We start from the raw sequence: 26,414 nt of genomic DNA on the forward strand, positions 1-26,414 counted from the left end.
TAACTTTAAAATAAAGAGTCTTGAAGTTAACTAAAACTCACTTTGCTTGTGATGGGTTCTACATTAACATGGCAGATTTAATCAGCCAGAATTAAAAGGTAATTTTATATTACTAAGGAGAAGAAACTGCCACATGACAGTAGTCTCCAAGTCTTTCATTTTTGGAGGCTGCCTTTTATGTCTAGATTTTAAAATACTAATTGAAAAAAATATAGTTTACTTCCATTTGTGATTTAATTTTATTTCTATAAATAAAAATATAGATAGTGTTTCAACTAAAAACCGCTAAACCAGACTTTCATTTTAAGGGCATGGCAGAAATAAGGAAAGACTAACTTGGTTCTATTACTTAACATATTATTTATTCAGGTAGTCAACAAAACCAGAATTTAAAATCTATTCGGTTAACCCATTTAAAGTTGATGTGTTTTACTCCCTTTTTTTTCTTTTTGTAGTGATCTTTTTAACTGAATTACTGGATATCATAGGGAGTTCTACTCCTCCTATTTGGAAACTTAGGCTATCTTACCAAGTTCAACATTCAGTTTTTCTTTCTGCCGTTAAGTTTGTTTAATTTTATATTAAGCTCAGTTTGCATTATGATATCAAATTCAGCCTGAGGGATTACTTTAAACTTTCCTAGGGTATTTACAGATTTAATTTGTTCTTACAGTATGTAAATACCAAGACAGCATTCCATTTAATATTATTTTTATTAAATTAACTTTGGAGTAAAAAGTCCAAGAAAAGCCCTGTACCGAAATCCTGGATTTTCTACATATTTCTACTTTAAAATTCTTCTGTCATGTGAAATAATTCATTAAAAGAAGTAGGCAGATGATGACAGGTAAACTTTTTAATGATGTTCTAATGCTGGCAATTGCAGTATTATTTTGCTTGGATCATAATGGCGTGTGAGCATTTTAAGCCCCAGAATGCCCATAAGTAGAGCTCCATTTGGAGCTGTGATCAAGATGGCTAAAAATGCTACTGTCATCACATCCTTTGCATATGGTTCCAAGTGGGGTGCGGAGACTGTTGCTGTTTCTAGAGCCAGAGGACCTAACACAGCCTACATTTAGGGGTAAAAATGGGGCATAAAGAAAAATATTAAACTGAGTTAATATATAATGTAAATGGCTCTGTTAAAATAAACAAAATCTAGTACTAGACTATTAGAAAAAAAAAGTACTCAGTAATTTTCATAAGTTACTCATCAGTTCCATGTTCTTCCTAGCAAATATATGTGGAGGAAGAGTACAATAGTGACAAATCAGCATGCAAACATTTTTCGGCTGATTTTGCACTCTTGTCCTCTCAGTGTTCCTCTATTCAAATATCTCTTTTGAGTGTTGCCCTCATAACACCAGGAGTTCTAACGAAACTGGTTTTGCTTAGTTGCCTTTATCGTGTACCAGTGGATTTTGACTACAAGAAGACAAAATAAAATATTAAGTTTTCTTCTGGTTCTCTAGGATTTGTTGCCCTTCTTCTCATTGTTGTCCTTATTCAGGGGGCACTGGGTTATAGCAGAACTGACAGCAGGCTTGGAATCTAGCAAACTGGGTTTGAATTCTATTTTTGCTTCAACCAGGCTAGTGACCTTGTACAAATGACTCACACTCTCTAACCTTCTACTTACTTACGTGTAAAACGAAGAACAAAATACTTATCTTACTGGACGGTTGTGAAAATTAAATATTAGGATGTGAAGAATACCTGGCACAGAGTAGGTATTCAGATAGTAGTAAGTTTCTTTCTCCTTCACTCCTCATCCCCTGCCAGGTCAGAGATTGAGTTCCTTTGAAGTTTTTGTTTTAGAATGACTCTACTGGGTCACAGGTTTTTTTCCCTAGTTACCTTCTACCACATTATTTTTAATAACATAAAGCAAATTTCTTGCTAACTCTCTTTCCTTGTGTTTAATAACTAGGCATGAAATTGCCTTAAAATTTGGGGGAATTAAATACCAATATATAACATATTTTCGATGGAGTTGCAAAGTAACAACATAATAGTAGAAACATTACCTCTGATATGGAACATTATGGCAAAAGAACCCCTCAATTTAAGATCAATTTCTATATCCTAAATCAATAATTTAAAATGGTATTATTTTTATATCATAACTTTCAATGTACTGAACATGATCCAGTATGCTGGAGGATGCTAGGGAGAAAAAAATAATCATGCAGAAAACCACCTTGAAAGAATCTTACAGTTTAGAAGAGGATTTGAACATAAAAGAACTGCCAACAGAAAAAACAAAAACAAAAACCAAACCCATTGACTTTTAAGAGATGATGACGATAATGGTGAAACTAGAAATAATATTTTTATAGTTATATGGCATTCATCATATGTCAGGTATCATTCTTAAAGCTTTCCATTTATCAATTCATTTAATTCTTATGACAACCTTATTATGTGAGGACTTTTATTAGATGATAAATGATTTCCTCCTAGTGACTGAGATTTAATATTATTTCTTTAAAAAAATCCAATTGCCAAGCTGATCTTACATTTGTAAATTAAATTATTTATTTACTCTCCTAATAGCTTCTATTTTTCCAGTCTAATTTTTATCAGTAACTCAAAACTAAGGAACAAGAGAAAGATGATCCTTAGCCAATTTTATTTTAGCAGCAGAGAACGGCGGAAGAGGATAAAGGTGAAAATAATTTAAAATTGAAATTTAAATATTTGTTGATCGTATTTACTTGTGACATTATTGTTATCTATTATTGCTGTTGTGACTCTACTTGTATAAATAATTAATTTTTTATGTCTTGCCAGTTCCTGGAACCAGCCTGATATTCTTTTTGTAGAAGCTAGCCTGGAGCCAGCAGACAGGAATAGGCAGAAGCAGAATAATACTGCAGGACTCGAGTGAGTGGTCTCTTTCCTCATACCAGCTTTTCTTTTTTCCCTGCTTTATGAAAATTATGAAATAATGAAACAAAATTGCAAGAGTATTGTTGGAAGGAGAGAGAACAGATACTCCTTTTGCAGATTTATTATTCCCTAGAGTAGACATTAAAAATAAAAAGTTATTATTTATATTTCTTGAAGGTAAGATAAAATAACAGCATTGTTTTTTAACTGAGCACCACCATATGCCAGAGAGAGTGCTAAGCACTTTACATGGATTATCTCATTGAATCCTGACAACACTGCTAAGAAACAGATACAGTCATAGACTTCATTGTAAGATGAGAACACTGAAGGACTGAGAGACTAGAAAATAATTTTCCTGAGGTTATAGGCAAGTAACATGGTATTCAAAACAGGTAGTCTGGCCCTATGAACCTGCTTTTCTAACATGATAATAGAGGTTTTTTTGCATGAAAATTTAGGAGCTTCTGTTTTGGAATAACAACTAAGAAAAGAGTCACAGGAAATTAAGGTATATTATGCTGCCAAGTTAAACAGTCTAACAAGAAGTAGCAATATATTTTAGTAGGAGGAGAATATCCTTGAATAACAGGGCAAAATTACAAGGTTTCCCTTTCCGTTCATTCATCCTTGCAGGCATGCAATACGTATTTGCCTCCTGCATGTCAGGCACTGTGTTAAGTGCCAGGGAGAAATAATGAAAAACAACGGCAACAACCAGACACTGTCCCTGTCCTTACGTAGTCTATCAAGGGGGCGGGGGCAGGGATTTAGCCATTAACCAAATAGTATACAAATAAATGTGTAATTAAAAAAATATATGTGCATTTGTGTGATGGAGTGAGTGGCAAGGTAGGAAAAGTATTTTTTAAAAAAATCAATGTGTCTCTATTTTACTTTACTTTTTTTTGTGACAGGGTCTCACTTTGTCACCCAAGCTGGAGTGAAATGGCGTGACCTCAGCTCACTGCAGCCTCAACCTCCTGAGTTCAAGCAATCCTCCTTCCTCAGCCCCCAAGTAGCTGTGACTACAGGTGCGTGCCACCACACCTGACTAATTTTTTTGTATTTTTTGTAGAGACGGGGGTTTTACCATGTTGCCCAGGCTGGTCTTGAACTCCTGAGCTCAAGTGATCTGCCTGCCTCAGCCTCCCGAAGTGCTAGGATTACAGGCATGAGCCACCATGCCTGGCCTGTGTCTCTACTTTTTAAAATCATAACATTTAGCTTTGTTATATTCAGCAAAATATAAAAACTCCAATTTTCAGATATATTCTTATTATATATTTTAGGAAAATAAAAAACATATTTTCATAAACTTAGGAAGTACTTATTGAAAGAATACTTTTTGATTTCAAAATAATTGCTTTTAAAACTGAGATTTCAAAAGGTTACATTGGCTGGGCCCAGTGGGTTATGCTTGTAATCCCAGAACTTTAGGAGGCTGAGGCAGGAAGATCACTTGAACCTAGGAGTTCAAGATCAGCCTGGGCAACATAGCAAGACCTCCTCTTTACAAAAAAATCAGAAAGAAAAGGCCAGGTGCAGTGGCTCATGCCTGTAATCCCAGCACTTTGGGAGGCTGAGGTGGGCAGATCACTTGAGGTCAGGAGTTTGAGACTAGCCTGGCCAACATGATGAGACCCCATATCTACTAAAAATACAAAAATTAGCTGGGTGTGGTGGTGTGCACCTGTAATCCCAGCTACTGAGGAGGCTGAGGCAGGAGAATCGCTTGAACCTGGGAGGTGGAGGTTGCATTGAGCTGAGATCATGCCACTGCACTCCAGCCTGGGCAACAGAGTAAGACTGTCTCAAAAAAAAAAAAAAATCTGAAAAAAAGCAGTTGGGTATGGTGGCAGGTGACTGTGATCCTAGCTACTCAGGAGGCTGATGTGAGAGGATTGTTTGAGCCCAGGAGGTTGAGGCTGCAGTGAGCCGTGATCATGCCACTGCACTACAGTTTGGGTGACAGAGTGAGACCTGGTCTCAAAATGAAAATAAAAATAAAAATAGAAAAAGGTTACATTGAGTTTCTTTGTTTGTTTTTGTTTATTTATTTATTTTTTTGAGATTGAATCTTGCTCTGTCACCCAGACTGGAGTACAGTGGTGCCATCTCAGCTTACTGCAACCTCCGCCTCCTGGGTTCAAGTGATTCTCCCATCTCAGCCTCCTGAGTAGCTGGGACTGGTTACGTTAATTTTAATGAATAGTTATGATCAATCAAACATTTAAAAAGTAAGGACAATAGCTCATATTTTGTGATTGGAGTAACATTTTTCATTTTAAATTTTAAAAGCATCAAAACAAAAGCATTAAGCAATAGGCTTAATATGTTCTTACCTGTACTGTAGCTTTGGGCATCCATGCTAAAGCAATAAATATTTTCTCCTTAAAACTAAAACCAGCAAAGCACATCAATAGATATGTGGTTAAAATTCGAACACATAATGCCAAACTCAAGAGTGGCAACAGATATGCCTACAACAGATGAAAACAAACATAAATAACAAAATATTTGTGAAGAAGTGTTCTTTATGCCCAGGAATATGATTTCTAAAACTTTCGAAAGCATTTTAAGGCTATTGTCTCTTCATGTGTTTAATTTTTACATAAAATAATGATAATAAAAAATGAATATGATGGAGGATTCTCTGTAAAGTGCAAGACAGTATCTGATGGTGGAGGTTCCATGAAAAATAAGACAGATGACATTTATACAATTCTGAACTAATAGACTTTTTTTGAATACTTTTATTATTATTAATAATAATTTACTTTTTGAGAAGGATTCTTGCTCTGTCGCCCAGGCTGGAGTGCAGTGGTACAATCTCAGCTCACTGCAACTTCCGACTCCCGGGTTCACGTGATTCTCCTGCCTCAGCCTCCTGAGTAGCTGGGATTATAGGCGCGCACTACCACACCTGGCTAATTTTTGTATTTCTAGGAGAGATGGGGTTCCCCATGTTAGCCAGGCAGGTCTTGAACTCCTAACTTCAAGAAGTGTGCCCGCTTCGGCCCCCCAAAGTGCTAAGTTTACAGGCATGAGCCACCATACCCAGCCAATAGTTTTAAATGAAAGTACTCAAAAAGTGCTGATCGTATCAAATATGTTCCCTCAGGAAAGAAATCTTATATTTATTTCCTTAGATAACTCAGGGAAGATATTCAGGGCTGTTCCTGGTTTAAAAAAGAAAGAGCACACAGTGTAAAGGAAGAGCAATATGAAAATATGACACTGTATCAACATGTGTTTCTGAAGAAGGTCCTTGTAGCCATTCAAAGATATATTGTAAATAAAAATAAATGCATTTATAATTTTCTTAAATATTTTTGAATTTCATATTTTTTGTGCTCTATTTATTCTTACCAACAATATTTGATTCAAGCGATGAAACAGATACTTCTGCTCCAACTAAACCAAAAAGAAGTGGTTGAAAAATATCCCATACATTTGTAATAATCTTTTGGACTTTCATCTATAGAAAAGAGAAATACATTTATAATTATTTTGGCACATAAATATATTTCAGAAAGTTAAGTTCTCCCTCACCTTTTTTTTTTTCACTTTTTAAGTATTTTAGAGATGGGGTCTTGTTCTGTTGCCCAGGCTGGAGTGTAGTGGCATAATCTTAGCTCACTGTAGCCTTGAACTCCTGGGCTCAAGTGATCCTCTCGCAGTCTCCCAAGTAGAACTACAGGTGTGTACCTCCATGCTGGGCTAATTTTTAAATTGTTTATAGAGACGGGGTCTCGCTATATTGCCCAGGATGGTCTAGAACTCCTGTCTTCAAGTGGACTCTGGCTGTGGCCTCCCAAAGCACTGGCATTATAGGCATGAGCCACCATGCCTGGCCTAAAGTCACTTAACATTTAATAAATTTAATACACTTTATTTTAATAAAAATGTTAAACTTAATTAATAAAAACTGAGCACTTCAATAGTTTTACTTAAACACTTAGGTAGAATTTGATTAAAAGAAACTTACAAAGCAATAAAATAATACTATTTGGCCATTTTGTCACAGAATAAGTGATGTCCTTAGGGTTCTAGCCATGTTTCGTATGAGTTCTAGATTTTGTCTCTAAGTTAACTGAACAGAGATAGAACTACATCATGCCTGATGAGAACATACCCAGTTCATGCAAACATTTGGGATCTCAGAAGGAGGTTGGGAAGCCTTCCACTAACAACCATCCTGGAACTCAATCCCATTAAAGTGAATCCTGATATATATAGCATATACTACTAGGAAAAACAATTTGGAAGTCTACTAGGCCTGCTTCCAAAGAACCCGTGTTGAATACTTTAAAGTTACTTTTTCCTCAAAACAAAAGAAAACATATATTAGATTCTCATTTAGCTGCCTATCCGGCTTCCCTTTCTGAAAACGAATGCCTCCCAGTACTACTTCCCCAATTAAAAGGTTACAGGAAAGGCCCCCTATTGGCCTACATTACTCTGGCTCTTCTCCAGGAATTTGGATGAAGAGATTTCAGTCTCAGTCTGGGTTTAATTTTTTTTTTAAACAGAAGATACATAAGAACTTTGATGTCTCTTCCTTGAGGCATAAACTATCTTTATAACTATTTCCCTTATGACTGTGTTTTCTGATCCCCACTTATTATAGTTTAAAAAAAGAAAAACAAAGAAAAACGATGTTACTACTCTTTACAGCATAATTATCCTGTTTGTTACTTTTAATCTTTAAAACTTGTTTTAGTTCTGTGTCTTTTACCATTTAAAAAAATTCTAGCAGTTTTAATTTTATTTATTGATTTGCATTTCATTCATTTCTTTTATAATTATGATTATATAAGAATACTAAGCAAAATGCCACTATGATTTTTGATTAGGGAATTTCTCAAGCTGATTCTAAAATTTATCTAAGAAAGAATATGTGTAGGAACAGCCAAAAAATACTTTAAAAAGAAGTAAAATCTATATTAGATTTTGACACATAAAAGTGCAGTGATTTAAAACAGTGGTGTTGGCATAGAAATAGAGAAGTAGGATTAAATAGACTTCAGAATTAATATATATGGGAGAATTTAGTTCATGTTAAAAAACTGAATTATTAATGAATTGGTCAATAAATAATTTGGCAAAAAATGACTGTCTAGTTTATGTGCATATATACGTATGTACATATTCATCACATGCAAGTATATATGTGTGTCTGAATATGTATGTATATTTATGTGTGTGTGTATATATATATATACATATATATATACACACACACATCAGGCATGATGTAGTTCTATCTCTGTTCAGTTAACTTACAAACTGTATGTGTGTGTGTGTATATATATATAGTTTGTAAGATACACATATGTATATATGTATAACCTTACCTCACAAAATTCACAAAGATAAATTCCAGATAGAATAAAAGACTAAATGAAAGAACAAATTAAACAAACAAAAACTACCAAAATATTAAATGATAATACACAAAATAGTATATCTTTGTAATGTTTATATGTTATAATCTTCAGTGAGAGAGTCCTTCTTAAATGAGATGCAGAATCCAAAATCAAAAAAGGAAAACCCAATAGGTTTGGTCGTAGGAAATTTTACTTTCATACACCAGACACCATAAACAAGCAAAATTATATGCAATATATACATAACAAAGGATCAGTAGCCCTAACACTAAGAGAAACTATAAATTAGAAACAAAAAAATAAATAACCCAATAAAAATGGTCAAAGAAGATCATAGGTATTTTAAAAAGAATATATGAAGAGAAGCTTACTATACTACTAATCAGAGAAATGTAAATAAAGAATAACAACATCACATAATTGTTAGAAACTATAAGAATTGGATGGTGAGGTCATTTAATAGTAAAAAGAATAGAACTAGTGATAATATCAAGTGCTGTTGATGAGTTAAGGTATTAGATATTGTTGTGCACTGTTGGCAGAGTGTAAATAACCAAAATTTTTGAAGGGATAATTTAGCAGTGTCCATCAAAATAAAACACAGATCATTTCCAGCCAGGTGTGGTAGCTCATGCTTGTAATCCTAGCACTTTGCATTGTCAAGTTGGGAGGATCCCTTGAGCTCAGGATTTTGAGACCAGCCTGGGCAACATAGATAGAGACTCTGTCTCAAAAAAAAAAAATCATTTCTAGGACTCTATTCCTACAGATGTACCTGTAATCCCAACACTTTGGGAGGCCGAGGCAGGAGTATCACCTGAGGTCAGGAGTTCAAGACCTGCCTGGCCAACATGGTGAAATCCCGTCTCTACTAAAAATACAAAAATTTGCTGGGCGTGGTGGTGCGCGCCTGTAATCCCAGCTACTAGGGAGGCTGAAAAAGAAGAATCACTTGAATCCAGGAGGTGGAGGTTGCAGTGAGCCAAGGTTATGCTACTGCACTCCAGCCTGGGTGACAAGAGTGAAACTGTCTCAAAAAAAAAAAAGACATGAACAACACTGTTTATGACAGCACTGTTTGTAAATAACAAAAAGTGGAAACGATCTTAATGTCTACAAATAGAATACTGGTTACTTAAAAAAATGTAAAGGGGTTCGATATTTGACAGTGGTGGGGAATAAAGAAATCTTTTACATTTTATTCTATATGTTTTATTCTTTTACAAGCATTTCTATTTTTATTATTTGTTTGTTTATTATTATTTTGTGTGTGTGTGATGGAGTTTTGCACTTGTTGCCCAGGCTGGAGTGCAATGGCATGATCTCAGCTCACTGCAGCCTCCGCCTCCTGGGTTCAAGCAATTCTCCTGCCTCAGCCTCCTGAGTAGCTGGAATTATAGGTGCCCACCACCACGCCACCATGCCCAGCTAATTTTTGTATTTTTAGTAGAGATGGGGTTTCACTATGTTGGCCACGCTGGTCTCAAACTCCTGACCCCAGGTGATCTGTCCACCTCGACCTCCCAAAGTTCTGGGATTACAGGCATGAGCCACCGTGCCTGGCCTTTTACAAACATTCTTCATGGATTAATTGTATAATTAAAATTTCAATGAATAAAATAATTAGATTGATATAAGTAATATAATAATATTATATAAAACTTGGGAAAAAGAGAAACCTGATGTGATTAACTCAACTTCTGATTCCATATTAGTATATATCCAGCTGCTTTTCCTAAATATTTTATTTCCTCAATTGATTCATACACTTTCTTGAGGATAGCAAATCTTTTGGAATATTTTCCAACCAGAATGAGGGGATTTCCTAAATATATGTAAAAAATTCAGTTGTCTTAGCTTTTAAAATATAGCATATTAAAAATATTCACCTTTTCTTGGGACCATTTTGCCCCTGCAATGAAACTCAACACTAGTGTGCATAATCCTCCAGATCCATGTAAACCAATACGTTGGCTGCCTAAGACAGCAGAAACACACGTAGTCAAAACAAGGAATCCTCTCTTCAATGTAAGTTTTTTCTAGAATTAGATAGATATTTAGAAATTAGTTTATATTAAATATATAATACAAGATTTGACATTATCTATTATATATGTTTGACCTTTTGATATTATGTCTTTAAATGTTATATTAAATGTCTAAAATTTTGATTTTCTTTCTCACCATACATTTTAGTAGACTTACTACCAAGTAACAAAATTTCCAATTAGTAACGTTTCATCTTCTGCCACATCTCTGATACTAGTATCAGTAAAATGGTTTAAGTATTACTTTAAGTGAAGAAGAAAAGAGACCCATAAAATCTCCAGTTTCATATAACATATCCAATGAATTCTTAAAAAATATTTGAATTACTCTTTGGTCAATATGCTACAGCTAAATTTGGATGGAAATTACAGAAATACAAAAGTAATGTCATGTTTTCCTTTAAGGCAGGAAATGGCTAAGTTTGAGTGTTGCCTTTGTCAAAGGATAGCAGGAGTGAATTTCAGTCAGAAAATATGCAGAAATAAATGGGAACCTATCTCCCCCTAAAATGTTTAAGGGGAAATTATCAAACATCAATAGGCAATTTAGTAGAGAAAGGGAAAGTATAATTCAGAGGGATACTCTGCATCAAGTATATTTTTTGACATTCCTTATTTGCCAAATCAGGAAGCAGAGACTTTAATCAAAGCCATTGACCTGTATCAATCACTGCTGTGCTCAGTTTTAAATACAGAGTAGGCATTGGAGGCTAGTTTTAGAAAAATAGAGTTAAGTATTAAATTTCATGGATCTTACCAAAGTTTAATATTTTGAAAAAAATGTCTAATACTATACTTCTATAAAATAGATTTTGTATTTACTTGGTCTTCACTTGGAAAATATCGAACAAAAAATCCCAAAACAATTCCTGCCAGCAGACTAATGCATACGTTCCTTATAGAGACTATGGCATTATTAAGCATACCACCTGCAGGGGCACACAATAAAAAAAAAATTCACAAAGAAATATTTTCACATACACTACACATCAGAAAAGCAAATCTAGGTGGTTCATGAAGAAAAGTAAGCATTTGATAGAACAAATATGTGCAAATGGTCTTTTTATAGTGACATGTATGAAAACACATAGATCTATTTAGTACATTAACTATATACTCTCAAATAATTTAATATATACACACAACTCAGAAATGTTCATTATATAAATAGGCCAGAAAACAAAGACTTAACAAGCACAAGATGCTCCCCTTACATAGCCAATTTAAAAGACAGATTGAGGTAGTCCAGGCGCAGTGGTTCATGTCTGTAATCCCAGCGCTTTGGGAGGCTGAGGAGGGTGGATTACATGAGGTCAGGAGTTCAAGACCAGCCTGGCCAACATAATGAAACCCCATCTCTACTAAAAATACAAAAATTAGGTCGGCATGGTGGCACACAACTGTGGTCCCAGGTACTCAGGAGGCTGAGGGAGGAGAATCACTTGAACCCGGGAGGCAGAGGTTGCAGTGAGCTGAGATCGTGCCACCACACTCCAGACTGGGTGAAAGACTGAGGCTACACCTCCAAAAGAAAAAAAAAAAAGACTAAGTGAGGTACAAGAATGGAGAGAGACCGAAACACCTGTGGCACTTAGCATATGGCTGGTAAGGGCTATATTAACAATTCTTCTTTGACGCACTATATGAAAAAAAACAAATGATTTTAACATGAAAAGAACAATGTAATAACAACATAAAAAATTTTGTTCCAGGGTCAGTCCTAGAAACATTCAAGGGTCATTTAAGATTTCAGTGTATTTAAGTTTCTGCTTTTGTTGAAGAAAAAAGAAAAAAAAATACAAAATATTCCAGTATATTTTATATTAATTAATATTAATATATCCATACTTGTAGTTCATTGTAATAAGTAAAAAGCAAAAAATAAAAAAACAGAATGAGTCACACAAATAGTTCAGTTAAGCTCTGGGTAGTGGATTCAATATAGTACGTAAGTATATTTTTAGATATATTTTCTACTAAATATAACAGGCAGTACATGGTGGGCTCACACCTTTAATCCTAGCACTTTGGGAGGCCAAGGCAGAAGGATTGCTTGAGCCCAAGAGTTGAGACCAACTTGGGCAACAGAGTGAAACCCCATCTTCACAAGAAAATAAGAAATTAGCCTGGTATGTGGTGTGTGCCTATAGTCCAAGTACTCAGTAGCCTGAGGGAGGAGGTCCCTTGAGATCAGGAGTTCGAGGCTGCACTCTAGCCTGGCTGACAGAGCAAGATCCTGTCTCAAGAAAATAAAATATAATAAAAATAAAAAATAATATAAACAGAGTGATGTCAGCCAGATGGTGGAATGGGAAGCTCCAAACCTTGATTCTCCATAAAGATACCAACTGAAAAACAATATATGGTCTAAAAGCCTTTATGGAGTTCCATAAACCATTAAGAAGTTGTAGTAGTACAGACAAGTGCAAAGCCAAGAATAGTGGCATTGAACAGATAAGAAAAGCTGTTGCATTATACTGATGATACCCCTTCCCCAAGCTCAAACAGGTTGGTTTGGCTGGGAAGCACTCAACTTGCAGCTTCTCCGTTAGCAGGGAAAGAGAAGACTGAAACGGAATAGTTTTATGAGGTTACCTGAAGCTCTCTCACTCTCTCTAACTTGACGCCCAACTGGCATACTTTGGATGCATGGGAGCCACTGGGAATAAAGGAGAGGTCAGAGATGATGCAGCACCAGGGAACCTGCAGTACCACAGACAGATACCAGAAGGAGCAACAGCTCCAGAAAAAGAAACTGGCAAACCTCTACTTGGGATGTTGCAATGTATAAACCCAAAGAAGATGCATTCCCAGAAAGAGTTTGAGAGGCTGCTGGAACCTATAGCCATGCTGATTCAGGTATGAAGGTCTTCCGTATGAAGCCAGCTGATAAAAACTGGGAGAAGTGGCAGTTTTTTCAAACGCCCAAATATTGGCAAAAATAAATAAAAAATAAAAAATAACAAGACATAAGAAGAAAGAGAGAAACCTGATGACTAAATTAAAGGAGCAAAATAAATCTCCAGAAACCAACCCTAAAGAAATAGGTAAATGAGTTACCTGACAAAGAATACAAATTAACTCTCTTAATGAAGCCCAGTGACAACAGAAATAGACAACTAAGTGAAAGCAGGAAATAATTCATGAACAAAATGAAAATATTAACCGAGATAGAAACTTAAAAAAAAAAAAAAAACAAAAAGGAACCATACAGAAACTCTGGAGCTAAGTCATACAATAGCTCAATTGAAAAATTCACTATCGGAAATCACCAATAGACTGTGTAACTGCCCAATGGGTTCACCTCGTGCCCTGCTTAGACAGAGCTGATTTATCAAGACAGGGGAATTGCAATGGAGAAAGAGTAATTCAGGCAGAGCTGGCTGTGCGGGAGATCAGAGTTTTATTATTACTCAAATCAGTCTCCCTGAGCATTCGGGGATCAGAACTTTTAAAGATAATTTGGCAGGTAGGGGCTTGGGAAGTGGGAACTGCTTATTCATCAGGCTGGAGATGAAATCATACGGGGTTGAAGTGATGATGTTTTCTTGCTGTCTTCTGTTTGTGGGTGGGGTGGCAGAACTAGTTGAGCCATATTACCAGTCTGGGTGGTGTCAGCTGGTTCATCCAGTGCAGGGTCTGCAAAATATCTCAAGCACTGATTTTAGGTTTTACAATAGTGATGTTATCCCCAGGAGCAATTTGGAGAGGTTCAGACTCTTGGAGCCAGAGGCTGCATAACCCCTCAACTGTAATTTCTAATGTTATAGCTAATTTGTTTATCCCGCAAAGGCAGACTGGTTCCAGGCAAGAAGGGGATCTTTTTGGGAAATGGCTATTATCAACTTGGTTTGAGAGTCAAACCATGAACTGAATACCTTACCAAAATTAGTTCATCCTACTGCCAGGAATGAACAAGGGCAGTTTAAATGCTAGAAGCAAGATGCAGTTGATTAAGTCTGATATCTTTTGCTGTCATAATTTCTTCAGTTATAATTTTTGCAAAGGCAGTTTCAATAACATCAAGCAGAAGAAAGAATCAGTGAAACGGAAGACTAGTCATTTGAAATTATGGAGTCAGAGGAGCAAAAGGGAAAAGGAGTGAAGAGTGAAGACAGCCTAAGAGACTTACAGGATGCCATCAAGCAGACCAATGTATGCATTATGAAAGTGCCAGAAGGAGAAGAGAAAAATAAAGGGGCAGAGAGCCAGTTAAAAAAGTAATGACCAAAAACTTCTCAAACTTAAAGAAGGAAATGGACATACAAATCCAAGAGGCTCAAAGAACTCCAAGTTGGATAATTTGCAAAAGACCTACAATGAGACACATTAGAATTTTGAAAGGAACAGGATCAAAGCAACTTGTCACATACAAGGGAGATTCCATATGGTTATCAATGGAATTCTCAGCAAAAACTCTACAGGCCAGAAGAGAATGGGATGATATATTAAAAGGGCTGAAAGAAAAAAAAAACTGTCAACCAAGAACTGTATAGCCAGTAAAACTGTACTTCAAAAATGAAGAGTTCCCCAGAGAAGTAAAAGGTGAGGGAGTTGATCACCACTAGGCCTACCTTACAAAAAACGTTAAAGGGAGTCCTCCAAGTGGAAATGAAAAGGCATTGGATAGAAATACAAAAGCATACAAAATATAAACTTCTTTGGTAAAGGTAAATATATGAGTGAACATAGAATCCTTTAATACTCTAATGGTGGTAAGCAAAACATTTTTTTCCTTTACTTTTTTTTCTTTTTTTTTTTTTTTTTTTGAGACAAAGTCTTGCTCTGCTGCCCAGGCTGGAGTGCAGTGGTTTGATCATGGCTCACTGCAGCCTTGCAGTCCTAGGCTAAAGCAATCCTTCCACCTCAGCCTCCTGAGTGGCTGGGACTACAGACATGCACCACCACACTCAGATAATATTTTTAAATTTTTAGCAGAGATAAGGCCTTGCTGGTCTCAAACTCCTAGGCTCAAGCGATGCTCACATTTTGGCCTCTCAAAGTTCTGGGACTACAGATGTGAGACACCACACCCAGCCTGTAATTCACTTTTAATTGAAGCATAGAATTTAAAAGGTAAAAGCATAATATTACTGTATTAAATTATGTGAATAAACAATATAAAATATATATTGTGTGACATTGATAACAAAGTGAGAAGGAGGTGTAAAGAAGTAGAGTTTTTGTATGTTATTAAAGTTAAGTTGTTGTCAATTTAAAATAGATTATTATAACTATAAGATGTTTTCATGTAATTCTACAGTAACCACAAAGAAAAGACCTACAGAAGATACACAAATAAAAATGAGAAAGGAACTAAAGCACGTCCCTACCAAAAAAAGAAATCAGTGAAACATAAAGGGAGGCAGAAAGAGAGGAAAAGTGGAAAAAAATACCTGCAAGACATGTATAAAACAGTGAACAAAATGACAATAGTAAGCCCCTCCCTATCAGTAACTACTTTAAATGCAAATAGGCTAATTTTCCAATCAAAAGACAAAGAATTGGCCGAATGGATTAAAAAAATCTAAATATATACTATATGCAAGAGACTTATGTTAGATCTAAACACACACAAAGGTTGAAAGTGAAAGGATGGAAAAAGATATTCAATGCATTTGGTAACCAAAAGAGAACAAGGATGGCCATACTTAGACAAAATAGAGTTTAAGTCAAATAATAGCACAAGAGACAAGGATATTACATAATAATAAAAGGGCCAATTGACCAAGAAGATATAGCAATTATAAATGTATATGCAACTAACAGTACAGCATCTAAATATATGAAGCTAACGTAGACAGAATTGAGGGGTAACATAGATAACAACATCATAATAACAGAAAACTTCAATATTCCACTTTCAATTATGGATACAATAACCAGACAGAAGATCAACTGGAAAACACAGAACTTGAACAACATTGTAGACCAATTGGACCTGTCTGACATATACAGAACACTTCACCCAATAATAGCAAAATATGCTTTCTTCTCAAGTACATACCAAGACTTTTCCAGGATAGATGGCATGCTAGTCCACAAACAAGTTTTTAAAAATTTAAGAAAACTGAACTCATACCAAATATCTTTTCTGACCACATTAAATGAAATTACAAATTCATAGCAGAAGGAAAAAGGAAAAGTAATAAATATGTGGAAATTACAAAAATATACTCTCTACCAATTGGCCTGTGTGGTTAATATTAATTGTCAATTTGATTGAGGGATGCTCAGATGCCTGATGAAGCGCTGTGTGTGGGTATATCTGTGAGGGTGCTGCCACAGGAGAATGATGGATGAGTTAGTGGACTGAGAGAGAAAAACCCATCCTCACTGTGGGTAGGCATCATGCAATTGGTTGCAAGTGTGACTAGAACAAAAAGGCAGAAGAATGGGAACATTCAGCTTGCTTGGATTTCTTTTTTATACACTTTCTCTCTCTTCCAGAGCAGTATGCCTTTTTCTCCTCTCGCCCTTGCACATCAAACTCTAGGTTCTTTGGCCTTTGGACCCTGGGACTTGCATCAGCAGCCTTTTGGGAGCTCTCAGGCCTTGGGCCTCAGACTAGTGGCTGCACTGTCAGCTTCCCTGGTTTTGAGACTTTCAGATTTGGACTGAGCCATGTCACTGGCTTCCTTGGGAGCCATGTTGTAAGCTTCTCTCATTTTCCAGCTTATAGATGGCCTATTGTGGGACTTTGCCTTTGTAATTATGTGAGCCAATTCTCCTTAATAAATCATATTTCATATACATGTAAATATATTCTCTTTTAGATGCATGTATATGTATCTCTATTATCTATTATCTATATCTATATCTATATCTATATCTATATCTATATCTATATATATTTCTTATTGGATCAGACCCTCTGGAGAACTCTGATTAATACATAGTCAAAGAATAAGTCACAAGGAAAATTAGAAAATGTCTTGAGACAAATAAAAATGGAAACACAACATTCCAAAGCTTGTGAGATGCAGCAAAATGAATATGAAGAGGACAGTTTATATATCTAACTACCTACCTTAAAAAAGAAGAAAGATCTAAAATCAGCAACTTAACTTTACACCTCAAGAAACTGGAAAAAGAAGAACTCAACCCAATGTTAGCAAAAGGAAGGAAATAATAAAGTCTAGAGCAGAAGGCCGGGTGCAGTGGCTCACGACTGTAATCCCAGCACTTTGGGAAGCTGAGGCAGGTGGATCACCTGAGGTCAGGAGTTCGAGACCAGCCTCAGCAACATGGAGAAACCTGTCTCTACTAAAAAATACAAAATTAGCCGGGCATGGTGGTGCATGCCTGTAATCCCAGCTACTCTGGAGGCTGAGGCAGGAGAGTCACTTGAACTGGGAGGTGGAGGTTGCAGCAAGCGGAGATCATGCCATTGCACTACAGCCTGGGCAATAAGAGTGAAACTCCATCTCAAAAAAAAAAAAATAAAAAGGCTAGAGAATAGAAAAAACCCAATGAAACTAGTAGTCGTTTCAAAGTTCAACAAAATTGACAAATCATTAGCTAGAATATTTAAGAAAAAAAATAATGAAGACTCAACTTCTTTTAGGAACAAAAGAGAAGACACTGCAACAGATATTTACAGAAATAAAAACGATTCTAAGAGTCTACTATGAATTATTATATACTGACTAGTTGGATAACCTAGGAGAAATGAACAGATTCCTAGTAACATGCAAGTTACCAAGACTAAGTCACAAAATAAAAAATCTTAATAAACCTATAACTAGTAACTGAATCAGGAATCAAAAACCTCCCAGCAAACCAAATACCTGATAAGGGTTAATATCTAAAATATATACAGAACAACAACTCAATAACAAAACAACCTAAATGAGAAATGGTCAGTTGACTTTGCTATGGTCCAAATGTTCTCCCAATATTCATATGCTGGAGCCTAATATTCAATGTGATAATATTAAGAGGTGGGGCATTTTGGAGATGATTAGTTCATGAAGTCATAGCCCTCAGAAATGGGACTAGGGCCTTTATAAAAGAGGCTTAAGGGAGTTTGTTTTCCCTTTTGAACATGTGAGGACACAGAGAAGGTGCTATGTATAGTGAATATAGTGACCTCACCAGTCACTGAGTCTGTTGTAGCCTAAATCTTGGACTTTTCACACTCCAGAATGCAAGAAATAAATTTCTGTTGTTTATAAATTACCAGCCTAAGGTATTTTGTTATAGCAGCAGGAATGGACTAAGATAGACTTGAATAGACATTTTTTCCAAAAAAAAAAATACAAATGGCCAACTAGCATATCAACCCAACACTACGTGGAAGCTGCCAAGCCTTGGGGATTGAACTCTGAAGCAATAGCCTGAGCTGTACGTTGGCTCCTTTTAGCCATGGCTGGGACACAGGGCACCAAGTCCCAAGACTGCACAGAGCAGCAAAGTTCTGGGCCTGGCCCACAAAACCATTTTTTCCCTCCTAGGCCTCCAACCCTGTGACAGGAGGGGCTGTCGTGAAGAACTCTGACATGCCCTGGAGAAAATTTCCCCATTATCTTGTCAATTAACATTTGGCTCCTTGTTACTTCTGCAAATTTCTGCAGTAAGCTTGAATTTCTCCCCAGAAAATGGGTTTTCTTTTCTATCACATCATCAGGCTGCAAATCTTCCAAACTTTTATGCTCTGCTCCCTTTTAAACATAGGTTCTAATTCCAAACCATATTTTTGTGAATGCATACAACTGAACACTTTTAAGAACACTCAGGTCATAAATTGAACACTTTGCTGCTTACAAATTTCTTCTACCAGATGTCCTGGATGGGTTCCAAGATGGCCAAATAGGAAGAGTTCCGGTCTGTAGCTCCCAGCATGATCGACACAGAAGACGGGTGATTTCTGCACTTCCAACTGAGGTACCTGGTTAATCTCATTGGGACTGGTTGGAGAGTGGGTGCAGGCCCACAGAGGGTGAGCTGAAGCAGGGTGGGGCGTCGCCTCACCCGGGAAGCACAAGGGGTTGGGGGATTTCCCTTTCCCAGCCAAGGGAAGCTGTGACAGACTACCTGGAAAAACAGGGCACTCCCGCCCAAATACTGCACTTTTCCCAAGGTCTTAGCAACTAGCAGGCAAGGTGATTCTCTCCTGTGCCTCACTCAGTAGGTCCCACAGCCATGGAGCCTTGCTCACTGCTAGCGAAACAGTCTGAAATCCATCTGCGAGGTGGCAGTCTGGTTGGGGGAGGGGCGTCAACCATTGCTGAGGCTTAAGTAGGTAAACAAAGCGGCCAGGGAAGCTTGAACTGGGTGGAGCCCACCGCAGCTCAACAAGGCCCATTGCCTCTAGACTCCACGTCTGTGGGCAGGGATAGCTGAACAAAAGGCAGCAACTTCTGCAGACTTAAACGTCCCTGTCTGACAGCTCTGAAGAGAGCAGTGGTTTTTCCAGCATGGCGTTTGAGTTCTGAGAATGGACAGACTGCCTCCTCAAGTGGGTCCCTGAACCCTGTGTAGCCTAACTGGGACACACCTCCCAGTAGAGGCTGACAGACACCTCATATAGGCAGCTGCCCCTCTTGGACAAAGCTTCCAGAGGAAGGATCAGGCAGCACTATTTGCTATTCTGCAATATTTGCTGTTCTGCAGCCTCCACTGGTGATACCCAGGCAAACAGTGTCTGGAGTGGAACTCCAGCAAACTCCAACAGATCTGCAGCTGAGGGTCCTGACTGTTAGAAGGAAAACTAAAAAACAGAAAGGAATAGTGTCAACATTAACAAAAGATCATCTACACCAAAACCCCATCTGTAGGTCAACAATATCAAAGACCAAAGGTAGATAAAACCAAAAGGATGGGGATAAACCAGAGCAGAAAAGCTGAAAATTCTAAAAATCAGAGCACCTCTTCGCCTCCAAAGGATCACCACTCCTTGTCAGCAATGGAACAAAGCTGGACAGAGAATGACTTTGACGAGTTGACAGAAGTAGGCTTCAGAAGGTTGGTAATAACAAACTTCTCCGAGCTAAAGGAGGATGTTGGAACCCATTGCAAGGAAGTTAAAAACCTTGAAAAAAGATTAGACGAATGGCTTACAAGAATAAACAGTGTAGAGAAGACCTTAAGTGACCCAATGGAGCTGAAAACCATGGCACAAGAACTTTATGACTCATGCACAAGCTTCAATAGCCGATTCAATCAAGTGGAAGAAAGGGTATCAGTGATTGAAGATCAAATAAATGAAATAAAGTGAGAAGACAAGGTTAGAGAAACAAGAGTAAAAAGAAATGAACAAAGCCTCCAAGAAATATGGGACTATGTGAAAAGACCAAATCTATATTTGATTGGTGTACCGGAAAGTGATGAGGAGAATGGAACCAAGTTGGAAAACACTCTTCAGGATATTATCCAGGAGAATTTCCCCAACCTAGCAAGGCAGGCCAACATTCAACTTCAGGAAATACAGAGAAAAACACAAAGATACTCTTTGAGAAGAGCGATTCCAAGACACATAATTGTCAGATTCACCAAGGTTGAAGTGTAGGAAAAAGTGTTAAGGGCAGCGAGAGAGAAAGGTCAGGTTAGCCACAAAGGGAAGCCCATCAGACTAACAGCTGATCTCTTGGCAGAAACTTTACAATCCAGAAGAGAGTGGGGGCCAATATTCAACATTCTTAAAGAAAATAATTTTCAATCCAGAGTTTCATATCCAGCCAAACTAAGCTTCATAAGTGAAGGAGAAAATAAAATTCTTTACTGACAAGCAAATGCTGAGAGATTTTGTCACCACCAGGCCTGCCTTACAAGAGCTCCTGAAGGAAGCACTAAACATGGAAAGAAACACCCGGTACCACCCAGTGCAAAAACATGCCAAGTTGTAAAGTCCATCAATGCTAGGAAGAAACTGCATCAATTAATGGGCAAATAACCAGCGAATATCATAATGACAGGATCAAATTCACACATAACAATATTAACTGTAAACGTAAATGGGCTAAATGCCCCAATTAAAGGACACAGACTGGCAAATTGGATAAAGGGTCAAGACCCATCAGTGTGCTGTATTCAGGAGACCCATCTCATGCGCAAATTCACACATAGGCTCAAAATAAAGGGATGGAGGAAGATCTACCAAGAAAATGGAAAACAAAAAAAGGCAGGGGTTGCAATCCTTGTCTCTGATAAAACAGACTTTAAACCAACAAAGATCAAAAGAGACAAAGAAGGCCATTACATAATGGTAAAGGGATCAATGCAACAAGAAGAGCTAACTATCCTAAATATATATGCACCCAATACAAGAGCACCCAGATTCATAAAGCAAGTCCTTAGAGACCTACAAAGAGACTTAGACTCCCACACAATAATAATGGGAGACTTTAACACCCAACTGTCAATATTAGAAAGATCAACAAGACAGAAGGTTAACAAAGATATCCAGGACCTGAACTCAGCTCTGCAACAAACAGACCCAATAGACATCCACAGAACTCTCCACCCCAAATCAACAGAGTATACATTCTTCTCAGCACCACATCTCACTTATTCTAAATTTGACCACATAATTGGAAGTAAAGCACTCCTCACCAAATGTAAAAGAACAGAAATCACAACAAACTGTCTCTCAGACCACAGTGCAATCAAATTCAAACAGGATTAAGAAGCTCACTCAAAACTGAACAACTACATGGAAACTGAACAATTTGCTCCTGAATGACTACTGGGTAAATAACAAAATGAAGGCAGAAATAAAGACGTTCTTTGAAACCAATGAGAACAAAGACACAATGTACCAGAATCTCTGGGACACATTTAAAGCAGTGTGTAGGGGGAAATTTATAGCACTAAATGCCCAGAAGAGAAAGCAGGAAAGATCTAAAATTGACCCCCTAACATCAAAATTAAAAGAACTAGAGAAGCAAGAGCAAACACATTCAAAAGCTAGCAGAAGGCAAAAAATAAGATCAGAGCAGAGCTGAAGGAGACAGAGACACAAAAAACCCTTCAAAAAAGCAATGAATCCAGGAGCTGGTTTTTTGAAAAGATCAACAAAATTGATAGACTGCTAGCAAGACTAATAAAGAAGAAAAGAGAGAGGAATCAAATAGATGCAATAAAAATGACAAAGGGGATATCACCACTGAGCCCAGGGAAATAAAAACTACCATCAGAGAATACTATAAACACCTCTACACAAATAAACTTGAACATCTAGAAGAAATGGATAAATTCTTGGACACATACACCCTTTCAAGACTAAACTTGAAGAAGTTGAATCTCTGAATAGACCAATAACAGGCTCTGAAATTGAGGCAATAATTAATAGCTTACCAACCAAAAAAAAGTCCAGGACCAGATGGATTCACAGCTGAGTTCTACCAGAGGTACAAAGAGGAGCTGGTACCATTCTTTCTGAAACTTTTCCAATCAATAGAAAAAGACAGAATCCTCCCTAATTCATTTTATGAGGCCAACATCATCCTGATACCAAAGCCTGACAGAGACACAACAACAAAAAAAGAGAATTTTAGACCTATATCCCTGATGAACATTGATGCAAATATCCTCAATAAGATAGTAACAAACGGAATCCAGCAACACATCAAAAAGCTTATCCACCATGATCAAGTTGGCATCTCTAGGATGCAAGACTGGTTCAACATATGCAAATCAATAAACGTAATCCATCATATAAACAGAACCAAAGACAAAAACCACATGATTATCTTAATAGATGCAGAAAAGGCCTCTGACAAAATTCAACAGCCCTTCATGCTAAGAACTCTCAATAAACTAGGTATTGATGGGACGTATCTCAAAATAATAAGAGCTATTTATGACAAACCCACAGCCAATATCATACTGAATGGACAATAACTGGAAGCATTCCCTTTGAAACCTGGCACAAGACAAGGATTCCCTCTCTCACCACTCCTATTCAACATAGTCTTGGAAGTTCTGGCCAGGGCAATCAGGCAAGAGAATGAAATAAAATGTATTCAACTAGGAAAAGAGGAAGTCAAATTGTCCCTGTCTGCAGATGACATGATTGTATATTTACAAAACCCCATCATCTCAGCCCAAAATCTCCTTAAGCTGATAAGCAAATTCAGCAAAGTCTCAGGATACAAAATCAATGTGCAAAAATCACAAGCATTCTTATACACCAATAACAGACAAACAGAGAGCCAAATCATGAGTGAACTCCCATCCACAATTGCTTCAAAGAGAATAAAATACCTAGGAATCCAACTTACAGGGGATGTGAAGGGCCTCTTCAAGGAGAACGACAAACCACTGCTCAACAAAATAAGAGGACACAAACAAATGGAAGAACATTCCATGCTCATGGATAGGAAGAATCAATATCGTGAAAATGGCCATACAGCCAAAGGTAATTTATAGATTCAATGCCATCCCCATCAAGCTACCAATAACTTTCTTCACAGAATTGGAAAAAAACAACTTTAAAGTTCATATGGAACCAAAAAGGAACCTGCATTGCCAAGTCAATCCTAAGCAAAAAGAACAAATCTGGAGGCATCACGCTACCTGACTTCAAACTACACTACAAGGCTACAGTAACCAAAACAGCATGGTACTGGTGCCAAAACAGAGATACAGACCAATGGAACAGAATAGAGCCCTCGGAAATAATACCACACATCTACAACCATCTGATCTTTGACAAACCTGACATAAACAAGACATGGGGAAAGGATTCCCTATTTAATAAATGGTGCTGGGAAAACTGGCTAGCCGTATGTGGAAAGCTGAAACTGGATCCCTTCCTTACACCTTATATAAAAATTAATTCAAGATGGATTAAAGACTTAAATGTTAGACCTAAAACCATAAAAACCCTAGAAGAATACCTAGGCAATACCATTCAGGACATAGGCATGGGCAAGGACTTCATGACTAAAACACCAATAGCAATGGCAACAAAAGCCAAAATTGACAAATGAGATCTAATTAAATTCAAGAGCTTCTGCACAGCAAAAGAAACTACCATCAGAGTGAACAGACAACTTACAGAATGGGAGAAAATTTTTACAATCTACCCATCTGACAAAGGGCTAATATCCAGAATCTACAAAGAACTTAAACAAATTTATATGAAAAAATCAAACTACCCCATCAAAAATTGGGCAAAGGATATGAACAGACACTTCTCAAAAGAAGACATCTATGCAGCCAACAGACACATGAAAAAATGCTCATCATCACTCGCCATCAGAGAAATGCAAATCAAAACCACAATCAGATGCCATCTCACACCAATTAGAATGGCGATCATTAAAAAGTCAGGAAACAACAGGTGCTGGAGAGGATATGGAGAAATAGGAACACTTTTACACTGTTGGTGGGAGTGTAAACTAGTTCAATCATTGTAGAAGACAGTGTGGCAATTCCTCAAGGATCTAGAACAAGAAATACCATTTCAATCAGCCATCCCATTACTGGGCATATACCCAAAGGATTGTGAATCATGCTGCTATAAAGACACATGCACACATATGTTTATTGCGGCACTATTCACAATAGCAAAAACTTGGAACCAACCTAAATGTCCATCAACGATAGACTGGATTAAGAAAATGTGGCACATATACACCAAGGAATACTATGCAGCCATAAAAAGGATGAGTTCATGTCCTTTGTAAGGACATGGATGAAGCTAGAAACCATCATTCTGAGAAAACTATCGCAAAGACAGAAAACTAAACACCACGTGTTCTTACTCATAGGTGGGAATTGAACAATGAGAACACTTGGACACAGGGTGGGGAACATCACACACTGGGGCCTGTCATGGAGTGGGGGGAGGGGGGGATAGCATTAGGAGATATATCTAATGTAAATGACGAGTTAATGGGTGCAGCACACCAACATGACACATGTATACATATGTAACAAACCGGCACATTGTGCATATGTACCCTAGAACTTAAAGTATAATAATAGAAAAACTATGACACTCTCCTACATACCATATCTGTACAAAAATTATAAATTTTAGATAACCATCCAGAGATATTTCTCTAATTCTTGGAAAAAATATCAACATTGAAAACATCAAAAAAATTAAACAGTTCTTTCTTCATCCAAAAAAAAAAAAAGAACGATAGGGAATCCTCCCTAACTCATTTTATGAGGCCAGCATCATCCTGGTACCAAAGCCTGGCAGAGACACAACAAAAAAAGAGAATTTTAGACCAATATCCCTGATGAACATCGATGCGAAAATCCTCAATAAAATACTGGCAAACCAAATCCAGCAGCACATCAAAAAGCTTATCCACCACGATCAAGTGGGCTTCATCCCTGGGATGCAAGGCTGGTTCAACATATGCAAATCAATAAACGTAATCCATTACATAAACAGAACCAAAGACAAAAACCACATGATTATCTCAATAGATGCAGAAAAGGCCTTTGACAAACTTCAACACTCCTTCATGCTAAAAACTCTCAATAAACTAGGTATTGATGGGACGTATCTCAAAATAATAAGAGCTATTTATGACAAACCCACAGCCAATATCATACTGAATGGGCAAAAACTGGAAGCATTCCTTTTGAAAACCGGCACAAGACAAGGATGCCCTCCCTCACCACTCTTATTCAACATGGTGTTGGAAGTTCTGAAAAGTGGAATCAGGCAGGAGAAAGAAATAAATTGTATTCAGTTAGGAAAAGATGAAGTCAAATTGTCCCTGTTTGCAGATGACATGATTGTATATTTAGAAAACCCCATCATCTCAGCCCAAAATCTCCTTAAGCTGATAAGCAACTTCAGCTAAGTCTCAGGATACAAAATCAACGTGCCAAAATCACAAGCATTCCTATACACCATTAATAGACAAACAGAGAGCCAAATCATGAGTGAACTCCCATCCACAATTGCTACAAAGAGAATAAAATACCTAGGAATCCAACTCACAAGGGTTGTGAAGGACCTCTTCAAGGAGAACTACAAACCACTGCTCAATGAATTAAAAGAGGACACAAACAAATGGAAGAATATTCCACGCTCATGGATAGGAAGAATCAATATCATGAAAAAGACCATACTGCACAAAGTAATTTATAGATTCAATACCATCCC

General features: G+C 37.2%; 1 pseudogene; it reads right to left on the minus strand.

Annotated features, from left to right (window-relative positions):
* Positions 1-856: 856 nt before the first annotated feature.
* Positions 857-26,414, minus strand: part of LOC102723945 (sodium/hydrogen exchanger 9B1-like) — a 278,678-nt pseudogene continuing 253,120 nt past the window's right edge.

Source organism: Homo sapiens, assembly GCF_000001405.40.
Source record: "Homo sapiens chromosome 16 unlocalized genomic scaffold, GRCh38.p14 Primary Assembly HSCHR16_RANDOM_CTG1".
NCBI lineage: Eukaryota > Metazoa > Chordata > Mammalia > Primates > Hominidae > Homo > Homo sapiens.